This window comes from Homo sapiens, chromosome 10 (assembly GCF_000001405.40).
Source record: "Homo sapiens chromosome 10, GRCh38.p14 Primary Assembly".
Classification (NCBI taxonomy): Eukaryota; Metazoa; Chordata; class Mammalia; order Primates; family Hominidae; genus Homo; species Homo sapiens.
Genome location: NC_000010.11, coordinates 104,639,101 through 104,653,088, shown reverse-complemented (window position 1 = coordinate 104,653,088; position 13,988 = coordinate 104,639,101). Strand labels below are relative to the sequence as shown.

At 49.7% G+C, this 13,988-nt stretch overlaps 1 protein-coding gene across 1 annotated transcript in view; it reads right to left on the bottom strand.

Moving 5' to 3' along the window:
• Positions 1-11,799, bottom strand: part of SORCS3 (sortilin related VPS10 domain containing receptor 3) — a 623,953-nt gene extending 612,154 nt beyond the window's left edge. The window contains exon 1 of the mRNA NM_014978.3: positions 11,135-11,799. Coding sequence (NP_055793.1) covers positions 11,135-11,761 — 627 coding nt within the window. The 5' untranslated portion in view covers positions 11,762-11,799. The remainder of the gene's footprint in view (positions 1-11,134) is intronic.
• Between the last annotated feature and the right edge of the window lie 2,189 nt (positions 11,800-13,988).

The window sequence follows — 13,988 nt, the reverse complement described above, 5'->3', positions numbered from 1 at the left end:
TATTGTGCTAGTAGATTTTGTTGCAGATAATAAAAACAACCAGAATTTTTTAATAATTTCATTAATTTTCATTCACTGTGGTCTTGATTATGTTCAAGTTATTTCCTAAGCATGCTCCAATTAGCACATGTCTTATGCTATCTCACACTGTTCTCTGCAATATCTGTCCAACATATGTTTACCACACACAAAATTGTAAGTTTTCTTGGGTGTCCAGTCTGCATCACATAGATTTTTTTGCACATGCTGCCTCACTAGGCATATACTAGGTGCTCTGAAACACTTCACATGATCTGAAAAGAGTAAGGCAGAGCAATCAATACAGGTCACAACCTGGGGCAAATGTTTTGTTAAAACATCCAAATTACACTCCCATCTGAGAATTTTATTATTATCAGACGTGACTTGAAAAAAATTGTACAACACGCCTGGAATAAGAATCTTGGGGTTTTTACTACCATGGTATGCGTGTTAATGGAAGTGTTCATTTGTACTGAGAGAAGGCAGAAGAAGGCAAGAGCTGCATCTGGTCTCAAATCTGTTGTCAAAGGGTCTCTAGCTCCTTAAGGAATGAAGGAGAGGTGAGGTAAACTAACAACTTGAGTTCATATCACCCCCTATTCTTTTCAAAATGCTTCCATGTGCACCATCTCATTTTTTAACTGTGACATAAAGGGAGTAAACAGGATTGTGCCCATTTTACCCATCAAGAAATGACTGACCTAATATCACATCTACTTTGTGGTGAGATGGGCTGCACCAATTTTTGCAACTTTTTCATTTTATAGGTGACGAAACTGAATCCCAGAAAATTCAAATAACTTAACTGGCATCATACTAAGCAAACAAATTATTGAATGAATGAGCGAAAGAATGAATGAAAATATATCTGCTTGAAGTAAGACCAAATCTAGGCATGCTTGAAAGAAGCATTTTCCATTTTTTTAAATCATACTTGCAGGCTCTCTCCTTACTAATAATGCACCCATTTAAAACACACACACACACACACACACACACACACACACATTTAAAATATATTTAAAACTGGGGTTTAATCCCACAGGGAGCTCTGGGAAACCATGAAAGAAACATGTCTCAGAGTTAGCCAACCCCAGTAGTCAAGGGGGCTAGATATTTATCCATCAACTCCTACCAGTCATTGGTAGTGGCTGCTCTCTGCTCCCTCACAGGCATTAACTCCTTGACTCTTCCAGCCTGTACCTTGTGTGATCAAAGCAAGCTACAGTGATCAGGGAAAGCTGGTCCCTGGTGCTGGTGGTTGGAAATCAGGCCAGCATGCAGAGCAAAGGAACACCCCGGGAATACGGGTAGAGTACCAACAGATCTCCAAATGAGAATTAACATTCTTTTTTTTTTTGAGACGGAGTCTCACTCTGTCACCCAGGCTGGGGAATGCAGTGGCACCATCTTGGCTCACTGCAACCCCTGCCTCCTGCGTTCAAGAGATTCTCCAGCCTCAGCCTCCCGTGTAGCTGGGATTAAAGGCATGTGCCACCAGCTAATTTTTGTGTTTTTTTTTTTTTTTTTTTTTAGTAGAGCCCGGAGGTTTCACTATGTTGGCCAGGCTGGTCTCGAACTCCTGACCTCAAGTGATCTGCCCGCCTCAGCCTCCCAAAGTACTGGAATTACAAAAATTAACATTCTTATGTTAAAATAGCCTATTATGCTAGGCCCTTTATAGGCATCATCTCTAAGATTCACAACAATCCTGCAATTCCAGTATTATCATCATTTTACAGCCAGTGAAACTAAGGCTTAGAGACTTGTTCAAGATTGCTGTGGCTTAGGGACCTTCTCATGACAGAAAAGACGCTTTAGAGTTTTGAGAAATCTTTCAAACAAAAGTTTGCTTTCAAGCATGAATAACACTGAAAGCAACACAGTGAGATAAGCAACTCTTTCACCACTAAGGATACCCTCCTCTTCCACCACCACTCTGGAAAACAAGTTTATCTGTGTCACCAGCTTCATTGTCTCAGAACTCTTATTGTAGACAAGTTCCCCCACTATGTGTAATCACATTCAGATATGGCAGCTTGAGCTATTTTTCTAGTCTTGAAAATGTTCAACTCAGTCATTGTTCTTCATCTCCCACTGAGAACAGATTTTTAAAAGAAAAAGTTTATTTCTTATGCAGCAGTGTAATCTGTAACCTGATTCTAACCATCTGAATGAGAAACTGCCTACCTCACCATAGATGTCAAAAAGGCTTCTGGGAGGATGTCAGGCACGTGGGACCTGAGAGCCTGTGAGAGACAGCCGCAATGTCCCAGAGTGCAGATCCCAGGCCAGCAACAGCAGGCCAGACACTACTCCATCCCCAAGACACTTGTTCTTTACCCAGGCACTTTTAAGTATTTAAGCAAGTATTTATTCTGTTCAACTCAATAAGCACCTATTGACTTAACCACCAGATACAAGAGAGCAAGGAAGCAAAAAGGAAGGAAATACAGAAGCAATGGGAGAACCTAGCCTAAGCATCACTTCCAGCTGAATCTATTTGTAGAGTGTTAGTTTGGTCATTAATGGTCTGAGTATCTAACTGCTGAATGAACGTGTTTGTATCTATTCCCCTTTTTTCTGTAGGAAGAGGCTGAATGATCAGCCCCCCCCAGGATTGAAAACTGTCCTGCTGCCAAATGATTATTCATCTATGGATCATCATACAACCCCTACACAATTCACTTACAGTCTACTTTTCATCTTCCCTCCTTCGGAACAATTCCTGGTACAGCATTGTCTTGTTATTTCATCCTATTTATTTTCACTTCTTTCCCAGGGCAACACTCCCTCTAGTGTCTATGTAGGGCTCTCAGGTTCCACTCTTGGTACACAGGGTGAAGGCAAAAAGGGAACTCAAGCCTACAACTCTATGGGTATAGATCACCACAAAGTAGTGGATTGTACCAGTGTGATAATTCTGGGGAACAGGCTGCAGATATTCTACAGATAGCTCCAATCCATGTGATATGCCCATTTCACAACAGGCACAAATACAGAAGAGGAAAGGAAAAATGTAACATTGAGGTCTAGCCCATGACTTTGGCATACATGAGTCTTTGGCACAATGGGATCTGCTTGTCAACCAGCCCCAGCAACCCAGTGTTCTCCAATGTTCTAGTAGCTACACACTTTACTCACTTCCCTCAAGAAGTCTCCCTTGATTAGCTGTGAGTTGTATCATGGATGCCAATTCTGAGAGAAGCTACTCTTCATCTTTCTGGATCCCTTAACTCTCCATGCAATAAAAGCCCCGAAATAATGTTAAATTTATTCATAGCTTATTAGTGTAATCATCTAATGAATATTATTCTGTTTCTACTACAAATTCTGAGTATGAATTTCAAGAATACAGGTCCCCAGTCATTCACTTCTAGATCCTTTTCAATGTCTACTTTAGCACGACATAAAAGATAGACATGGCAAAGACTCATTGACTGGGGACATGAACTATGGGAGGTGGTTGAAATGAGCATCTTGATGAGAACTGGGTTCTAGCCAAGGCCTTGCCATCAGCTCACTGGGAAACCTTGAGCAAGTGCCTCCTTCCTCTGCTTCAACATTTCCATCTGAAAATTAAGGGAAGGCCCCTTCCAGATATAAAAATAACAACTAAACTAAAGTATCTTGAGTGCTTGCTACAAATGGGTCAGGCACTTCTTTTAAGCACTCTGCCCTGTACAGTCTCACTTAATTCTTACAACAGCCCAAGGTAGAGATACTATATCATCACTCCCTTTTTTCAGATGAAGAAACAGCAGAGAGGGTAACAACTTGCCCAATGTCACACAGCTATTAAGAAACAGAGGCAGGACTTGAACCCAGGCACCTGGCTGCAAAATCCATTGATCTTATTTAGTATGTGGCCTGTTTCAGGTTCCCAGTCTATCTGTTCTCAACAAATCCAGAAGAGGATTGCATTCATGATGAAATCTCTCCACAAATATGAATTCACACAAGTTGTACCATATACCCATACTAAATAATCCCACAACCCAATATAATCCTTGATTATCCTACATAGCTTTATTTCCAGTTTTTCCCCTAAAGAAGGTTTTTTCTCTTTCCAGTGCATGCCAAGTAACAGTCCCCTACTTAGCCAAGGGCACAGTTTTACTGACCAAGAACCCTGCTGGCCCCACTCTGCTGCAGGTCCCTCTCATCTCAACCAAGCAGGGATGGCTTCCTCTGATTCCCTGCATGCACTCAATAGCAGAAAACAATCTGTGCAATCCTGAGGTTCTTAGACTCCATTATTTTTTCCAAATTTACTATAGAACATTTATTAGTGTACTATAAACAACAGTATTTCTATAAATAATTAAATCCAAACTACACTGATCAAAATAAATGAGCAAAATATTCCTGGTTGTGATGTAACCAGGCTTGATTCACTCACTAACTCAAATTACAAAGTGACTCACAAGAGGCCCCCATTAACAATGGTTAGTAAGATACAGCTTGTCCAACATTAACTAGCTTGTTATTCATTGTCTGCAGCCACCGCGGTGGGTGGGCAGGTTGACTATAGAGTATGGCCCCAGAACAGAAGGAAAGAATCTATTCCTAAATCTCTCTAACTAGCCTCATACGATACCCATCCTGGGGCCTCAATCTATCCTACCTATAAAATGGGCACCTCATCAGAGTGAAAACACACAAATCCTCTTAGAAGGAAAATGCTCTGTTAACCTGAGAAGAAAGGAGAAAAATGGGTGTGAAGAGGGGATGGCTCTTCCAAGAGAAAAAAAAATAAGCAGGGTCCAAGGCAGGCTGCCATGTTTCTGTCTGAGCCTCATATCCTCATCTCTATCATGAGTGATTTGATGAAGACAATTCCCAAGTGCACTTCCAGTCTTGACATTCTGCAAGTCTCAAATTCCTGTAGTATGTCCCACAGGGATCCTCTCTTCTGCGAGCTCATAGCCTGAAACGATCACTTGACAATTAACCACATATCACCCCATGGCATCTGTCTTGTTGTCATGTGTTATTTAACTTTACAGAAGAGCAGTCTCACATCCAAAGCATGTCGGCAGGACCATGAGGCAAATGCTGTCTTATCCTTCTTTGTCTCCTCTCTATCACACTTCTACCAACCCCACAGTTTCTAGGACAATGCCACATACACAGGAAACACTCAGAAAATGGATGAATGTCTTATGGGGGTGTCCATCTGATCTCTGAAGTCCATGAGAAGCCAGGATTGTTAACTAGTCCTTATTTCTATCCTCTTACTAAGTAGTGTAGAGACCCCTCTGAATCTTATGTTAACATTCATACATGAAATAATACACCAGTTGTCTAAACTCAGTGTTATTAAGAGACAGTGTTAACCTGTTAGTTATCTTAGGGCAAAATGATCTTCTTTCCTCTCCTCTTACCCTGCAGCTAAGGCACAGTCCAACTCCCCAGGTGAGTTCAGTATTACTGAGCTATGTACTACCCTACGGCACATGCTGCCAGGCACGGATGAGAAGAACAGAACTCGCACTTGATGGTGATTGGAGGGAAGGGGTGCTGTTTTAATTATTTCAGCTCTTACCCTCAAATCACTCACCAAATAATATAAGACTAAAGTAAGTACTAAACTAAATATGACAAAATGTGTGGTGCACTCTGCAAATTCTATAAACAAGTAGGGGAAAAGAGAAATAAATGCTTCTAAGGAAAGTTTCACAGAGCCACTGAGTCTGAATGTTGAACTGAGCTATGAATAACAGGTGCCCTTTCATCAAGAAAGAAGGGTACCCCAAGTGGAACAGACCTCAAGATGCTTGGGACAATGAAGACGCTGCCCTGGCCAGAATGCAGGAGTCAATCAGGGAAGAGTCAAATCCAAAGTTGGAGAAGTAGACCCGGGACATACATAGCCTTGAATGCCAGGCTAATGGACTCTGGATCTGAATTTAAGAAACCGAAGTTCCTCAAGCCAGAATGTAGACACACTGGATGAAACACTCCTGGCTATGGTAGCTGTCAAGTTCTGAAATCATTGCTATCCCAGGCAACAACAATTTCTAATTCCTTTATAGCCTCTGCTTGATGAGACTTGAGACTGTCTTTCATTCACTCAGTCAAACATTATCAAGTGCCAACCATGTGTAAGGCAAAGCTCCCTCATCTCCACTGACTACCAACAAAGTCAGAGCCCTATCCAGAGCCTTTTCTCAGTTACCCACAACACCAGGAGAATAAACTTGGTTAGCCAAATTCGATCCATCCCACAGAGCCAGTTCTGCTTACCAGAACTGCCTAGTGACCCACTAGGCACTCACATTCTATATCTCCCACCTCCTCCTCCACAAGGCCTCTTTTCTCCTTCAAACTTACTGCAGAATCCTCCTTTGACATTTTCTCCCTGTAAGGGAAGTGTCTCAAACCAGCCAAGAGGCCAAAAGAAGGCAGAAAGCGGGAAATCAACAGGTAGGTCAAGCCACAGGCCTTAAGTGACTTAGCCAATCTATACCTAGCCTTGGATAAACCACTAGTCTCCAGCCAAATCTTTCTATCACAGAGTGTCTGCTTTGTTGCACCTCTCTGCTCCTTATGAGATGATTCAGGGCCCACAGATCATCCAGTTCCAGGATTCCTTCACTGACAATAGATTTACACAGCCCAAAGAAAAAGCAATTTTCCCTTCTGTCCACTGAGCCTTCCTGCCACTGAAGTCACCCTCCCTTTCCCTTAAATCCAACACCACTGGAGAAGCCACTCCCGGGCATTCCTTCTTTGCCAGCTACAAAGCAAGTTCCAGCCACTGCATTTCTGTAATCATTAAATCAGGCCTCCCAATTAAGGAATCTGCAACTTCTGCTCACCTTGGAAATCACTGAAGGATCTGAGAAGGAAATCACATCCTGTAATCCAGCCATCAGAGAAATCACTGAGCAGATAAATAGGCTGTGCCCAGCTCCTCCTCTCCCTACGGCCCCTCAGACCAACAATGACCAGGAGCAATTAGTACCGTTATGTCCCCATGCATTTCCCAGCTACATCTCAACTGAGATGGTTTCCCCTTGTAATACTAATTGAAAACAATTTTTTTGGCAAAACCCTGAAGAATGGCTTCTGTGGCAAGCTTCTTTATTAAGCCTCCAAAAAGGCAGAATGCATTAAGATATTGTGACACAGGAACTGTGAGCAGGGAGGATGAAGACAAGCAATCCAGCCAAAAGCTATTTGAAAAATCTGTTTGGGAGCCACAATTAGATGATCCAGTGAGTGAAATACAATTAATCTGATCAAATCTGTCACTATTTTGCACATTAGGAGTAAATATTTTAGAACACAGTCCAGCTGAATTAGTTAAGGGTAGGAAATCCTGCCTGGGAGAATCTGTGTTACACCTACTAGTACGCTCAGGGCAGGGTGATCTGGGAGGGCCTAGAAATATCAGCATCTCCCCATTTCTCTTCACCAAGATGCAGTGTTGGGCCCATTAATTGAGAACTACCTGGCAAGTATTCCAAGCAGATACACTGCAGGGGCAGCAGCCTGCAAATCGCTGCCACTTCGAGTGCGCTGCTGGAAGGAAATGAAGACCAATGTGAGGGCAGATGCAGTGTTTTCACCTTGGCACCAGGAATGGGGGCCCCATGAAGGGTTAATCCAAGAAGGAGGGGGTGTGGAGAAGTGGACTGTGCCTTCACAACTTTCCACTCTCCAGAGCCATTTGCCAACTCACTGAGCAAGCAGGGAGGCTTCTTCTTTCATTTGAAGGAAAAGGACAGAATAATGTGTTTTTCTGTTTCCCTGTAAGCCACGGGGACTGGGCTCCCTCTGGGTGTTTTTGAAACACTCTCTAACCCATTAATCACCAGGATTCCAGCTGGAGGCAACTGGAGAGAAAAAATAGCAAATCGCTCCTCCAGAGTAAAGGGTCCAAGGCCAAGTCCACTCACTTTCCAGCCAGAGCACCTGGCAGGCAACATGGTCAAGAGGTGGTACCCAGATCCCATGCCCTCCTGATTCCTTTGCCCAAAGCCAGTTGCACTCCTTCTCCTTTGTCCCCAAAGCCATCTCTTCTCAGTCCTGGGACCAAGGCAAATACCCAGCCCAAGCCTTGGTCAAGGGTCTCCTCCTGCACCCTCAACCACCTGGGGCACACACTGGACCAATGGGGTGGGCTGAAGGCCCTTCTCCTTCATGTCCCACCCTGCATCCCTGACTGTAAACTCAGTCAGAATGGAGTTCAATTTTCAATTTCATAGGGTTACTGAAAACGCTCCCCAAAAGGGAACTCATATCAAGCAATCAGGTGCATCAGAGACACTTGGAAGAAGAGCAAGGAAACCCTCATTGTGTTAAAAATTAAACTGGTGGCCTCCTGAATAAGGACATGTCTAATACTCCAGAAGCCAGAATAAAAGATAAAATTCTCTTTCCACGTCATAAGAGCCTGGAGCTAGGCCCCATGTTCTCTGTTTTACGGACATCTCCCTCCACTTTGAAACCAATGATGAAGGAATCTTCCCAAAGTGTCCTCATCCCCATCACTCTTCACCCTGGCTTTTATTTACAACACCTTCTTTTCCTGCCATCAGGAAAGGGGGACAGGAGAAAAACCAGCTGGGTCAATGTTGCTGAAACTGGTTTCCCAGTGACTCTCCAGGAGATTTCCTTAAAGTCTCAAAGACAGGGCCATGTGAGTATGCTTCTCCATCTTCTTTACACAGGCTCACAGACCTGATAATCAAGGATCTCTCTCTCGTATTGCCTACAAAATGTGGTCAGAAGAGACAGGTCCAGCCTAGGGGCTAAAGAGGCAGTTATTCCCCAGATTGGAGAGAGAGGACAGTGCGTGGCCCTACATCCACCTGTGGTGCTCTTGCATGGGCAGTAAGGCTGGCCAAGAGCACAACCAATAAGTCCCTGTGGGCTGTTCATACATTGTCCAATCTCATTGCTGTCACCAAGGTCTCCAAGCCCAACTGCTCCAGTCCCCAAGCCCCTTTGGCCGTCATTTGACTGAAGAGTCATTTCCCCAGGGAGCACGGGCCAGACCTGCCCCTCACCTCTTCTGCTGCACAACTGCTTTGAAGATGAGCAAAGAAGGCCATGCACAGTTAACTGCTATTTGCAGGAAGCATTTTCTCTAAAGTCCCATCTTCAGAGGCTTTGTAAATACTCAAAAATAATCCTTAAAATAAAAGCAGAGACACAGAAAAACTCTTCAGGGAGGGTGAATTTATATTGTCCTAATGTGGCAGTAGGGAAGCCACAGATGTAAAGACATTGCATCCTCCTCTTCCTAGGATATATTTACTTCCACACATCCTATCCATCCATCCATCCTCCTCACCAAGTAAGAACCCCAACACACACACACACACACACACACACACACACACACCCTAATTATCAAACTAAAATGAAGTTGGGATTCACAACCCCTGCTGTCAGAGAATCAACCCTGAGGTCAGAGAATCTCCCCCCAGCACACACATATCCAAGTCCTCTTGGAAGGGACTTGGAAGTCTTCAATCACCCAGCCCTGCAAAGGCACACATTGTCCACCCCTCTCGCCAGAGCTGTCAGCCCGAGGCTACGGGGGTCTTCATCCCAGGCAGATGAAGCCCGCCATCGCGCTGCTGCGAAGCTGGACTTCACTGGTCCTTCAAGACCAGCATGGGCTACCCAGGCTGGGCTGCCCGCGCTGTGCATCATTAGAAACCAAGAAATCTGCACTTTGGTATTGCTTATGTACTACCTTCTGCGGACCCCTCGCTTTCCTCTTATTAGATACCCAATCCTGGACATCCCAGGCTCTGTTAAAATAAGGCAAAAATTTCCCAGAGAAATTTTGTCAAACACCGGTCATGAAGAGAAATACAAAACGGCAGGGAGTTGCGGGGTGAGTTCCTATCAAATCAGTTCCCCAAGGCTGCTTGTACAGACACCCGTCATCCTCCGCCTGGAGCGTGCACCCTACCCAACGCCAGGTTCTGATCTGAACCATGGAGCCAGAGAAGAGGAAAGGATTTTCCAAATCTGGCTCTAGTAGGGACCGCGGGAGGGAGGGAAGTCGGGGAGATGGTGGGAACCTGTCCCCCGCCTTTTCTTTGCTTGGCTGCACAGCGCTGGGTGCCGGCGAGGTAGGGGGAGCCCCTCCGGGCACGCGCTGCGGGCCGCTGCAGCTGCCAGGCAGGCGCGATGCTCAGTCGGGCGCCCAGTTCGGAATGCCGGAGTAGGCCAGACCGGGCTCAACGACGCCACCTCTCGGTACATCCTTGTCCAGGAGAACCCGGTGGCGGGGAAAAGCGGGTGGAGAGGTGTGCAGGAAGCTCAGGCACCCAACTCCGCTCAGGGAGCCGTTTGTGGCGCAGGACGCAATGGTGAAGTCGAGAGTTTTCTGCTGAGCGACTTCCGTGTGCCTGTGCGTGCGTGAGGGCGAGCGGTGTGGCATGAGCGCTGGATGGGTGTGGAATTTCGCTTCACGCTTTAAACTTTTTTTTACGGCCTCTGCTACGGCTTTCCAGGGCCGCTCCCTGGACTTTGAAGGAGGAACCGGGGTTACCTGAAGGCCAAGGCTGGGGGCCGACTTGGCCGAGCCTCCCTCTTGGGCTGGAGGACTGCGCGCCTGGAGCGGATAGCAGCGACCCCGAGGCGAGCAGGAGGCTGGGAGTCCGAATGGCCTTCCGGGTTCCCTTTCGCGTGACGGGAGGGGGGGTGGGGGTGGGGTGGGGGTAGGGGGAGCCCGGCAGCCGCAGGAATCGGTCTGTTCAGCGGCTCCCGCCCCAAGTCAGCCCTTTTTCTCATCCAAGAATTCAAGCACCCCGCAAACAGGAAAACTGACCCTCCAAGCCAAGTATTGGAGAAAGTGAGCACAGATCCCTCCCCCACTCATCTTTAAGAAGCCCCTTCCTCCACTCCCCTCCCGGCGGCCGAAGCCTAGGGTCTCCAGTAAACAAACACACACAGCGTCTAACAACAAACTCCGTTAACCTGTTGGGGGCGTGGGGGGAATCGGACAAACCTGTTATCTCGAAAAGTCGAGGCGTCCCCCGCCTCGACCCCCGAGCAACTATCTGTCCCTCGCTCCCACCCACCCCCCCATTCCCCTTCGGTGTCAGGAAACAGGCGGACCCGCCGCCGGGTGGGTACTCACGCTGCTGTTGTGTCCCGACCAGTGCACCATGGCTTGGTTGTGGGCCGAGTCCCCGGTCAGCGCGAAGGAGGTGCTGGGCAGCCGGAGGTCTTCAGCCGCCGACCCCCCAGCCCGCGGCGCCTTCACCTCCTCCCGGGAACCCTTAGCAAGGGGACGGCTTCCTCTGGAACCATCGGCCGGAGCAGTGGCCCAGGCGTCCCCGCGTTCCTGGGTGATTGGGGGCTGCGCCCGGCGACTCCTCCTCGCGCCGCCAAGCTTGGCAGGAGCTGGGATGCCCCGGCCCCGCCGCTCGCCTGCCGGTGATGTCCCTCCGGCTTCCACCTGCATCTCACCGCCTCTGCCGCCGCCCTGCTGGGGCAGCAGCTCTGGTCCGGCCCGGCGCCCCAGCACGGCGGCTCTCCGCGCCGACGCCAGCTCCTCCGGCCACTGGCTGGCCACTGCCCGCGGCGAGAGTGGAGACAACGCCGGTGGCCGCGAAGCCGGGGCCGCCGGGCGTCCGGGACCGCCTGTCGCGTCCCAAGTGATCTCGGCGCCGGCCAGGACCCACGTCGACAAGAGTAGGAGCCCCGTCCGGACAAGCGGCGCCCCCGGCCTGCCTGCGGGGCGCTCCGTGCGCGCCGCCTCCATCCCGCTGCGGCTACCGCGGCTCGGGCTGCCGAGTGTGTGGCGCCCGCCGAGGTGCGGGTCCGGCGCGGGGGGTGTGCGCGCGCCGGCGAGCGAGCGAGCGTGTGTGTGTAGGGGGAGTGGGGAGGGGGCGGCCGGGAAGGAGGTGGCTCCGGCTGGCGCGCCTCGCCGGTCCTCTCCACTCTTCCCTCCTAGCTCCCGCTCGCCCGTTCTCTTGTCCAGAGGGTGATTCCAAACCCGAGGAAAATTAATAATTGCCCCTTCGGTGCTTTCTTTCTTAAAATCAGATTCCCCCCAATCCTCCCCACTGAGCTCCTCCAGAAATTTGGTAAAAAGGAGTAATCAAAGGTAATAAGAAAATCTTCTTAAAATATGAAAATCAAGCCGGATCCAGGAGGGGCCGGCAATAGACCCCAATCCCGAGTCTCTCCGAAATCCAGCCTCCAACGTGCTCCCGGCGAAGAGTTGGGAGCCGCTTCTGGACGCGTTTGGGGGTTTACTCTTCGGGCCTGTTATGAGGGGCGGGAGATGGCGCGCGGGGAGGGTACAGGGGTCTCGGGGGAGAAGGAGGAGGAGTTGTGTGCTCAACGCCAACTGTTCGCGTTCTAGAGCCGAGAGGGAGCCAGGTGCCTCCGCGCGGGGAGGCTGCGCACGGAAGCCAAGCGCGGGATGCACCCTGGACTCTGCTCGCCGCTCCCTGGCCCGGCCGGCTCCCGGCCAAACCCCGCCACCCAAGGCCTGCGCCCCCGCGCGGGGGCGTGGGGAATGCGTGCGTGCGCGTGCGTGCGCGCAGGCAGGCGGGCGTGAGGCGAGGGGTTCGCAGGGGGCCGGCGGGCAGACCGGGCGCTGCCGCGTGGGGGCACCTGGCTGAGCCGGGCCGGGAGCGCGGCTGGGTGTGAGGGGGCGCGCGGTTCCGTGCGTGCGCGTTTGCACGAGCATGTGTGCACGTTAGTGTGAGCGATGGCAAGTGGGGCGGGGGCGGGAGGTGTGCGCTCGGCTTTTGGTCGCGTGCGGATCACGCACGGGCTGTGTTTGCATTTCCAGGAGCCTGCGAGTGGTCAAAGAGGCAATGCTGAGAACTAGGCAGGCCGCTCTCGGCAGCCCCCTCCTCTTGGCGCCCCGAGCACCCACGGCCCCCACTACAAGCGGTTAGAACCTGATAAAGCCTCCTAGGGGATGAGGGAAAAGAGGCGGAAGGCCCCGGTGGGATCGGGGACTTGCCAGATCTTCTCGGTTGAGGGATTCTCCTTGCCCCGACCTCCCGGCCAGAGGTGGGGCGAGAGAGTAGTCGAGATGTCTGTTCTTCCAGGGAGGATCCAGACCTCATTTTGCTGCCTAGGATTTTGAGGTCGTGCCCTCACTCTCCCCAGTCCGTTTCTGAACGGACTCAATTGTTTCAAAGTGTCGGCCGCCAGTTAAGAGGGTACTCAGGCGGGAGCCGCGTGGGCTTATCTGGTCCCCAATCCGCTACTGCAGGAGTGTAGCCTGCGCGCTTGGTGCAGCTGAGATCCTTCGTGACCGTAGGAAGAAGGAGACTTCAGGTGGGCTGAAGGGAAATGAGCTAAACCCACAGACGACCTCGAGCTGCGGTTTACAGGCCCCAGGACATGTGGTGTAGCTCGCCGCCTCCGAGAAGCCCCTGGGATTCTAGGGGTTGAAAAGTCTGAGACTAGAGGAGCTAGAGGAGGAGCTATTAAGAAAGGAGGAGGCAGGAGGGAGGAGGCTTAGGGAGAGAGAGACAGCCTCCAGCCCTGCTCCTCCCCTTCGGGAGTAGATAGAGTTCCTCCTCTCTAGAAGATGGTTAAAGTGGAGCGAGAGGGAGGGGAATGCGCGGAGAGGAAAGAAAGGTGAGAGGAAGGAATGAAGGAGAAAATAGAGGGAAAAGGGGAGAGAGGAAAGACAAGATGAAGGAGAAAAGGGGCGAGAGAATGGTGCAAAAGGAAGAGGGAGATAGAAGAGGAGGCGAAAGGGCGCCAGGTAAGAGCCAAGAGGGATGGAGGAGGCAGAAGAGGCGACTGAGAATCTAAGCTGGCCAAGGAAGAAGACATCCAGCGATTCCCGAGAGCCCCCGCCCTCTTGAACTTGCCTTTCCACCCGGTGCCAAAATGGCAATTAGCAGCGGGGGAGGCTGGGCCAAAGAACCAAGCCAGCGACAACGTCCGGCCCAGAATGGTGCGGGTCCTGGCATCTGTGGGTTTCCAAAGACAGGGAGTAGCGGGTATTCCTAAGA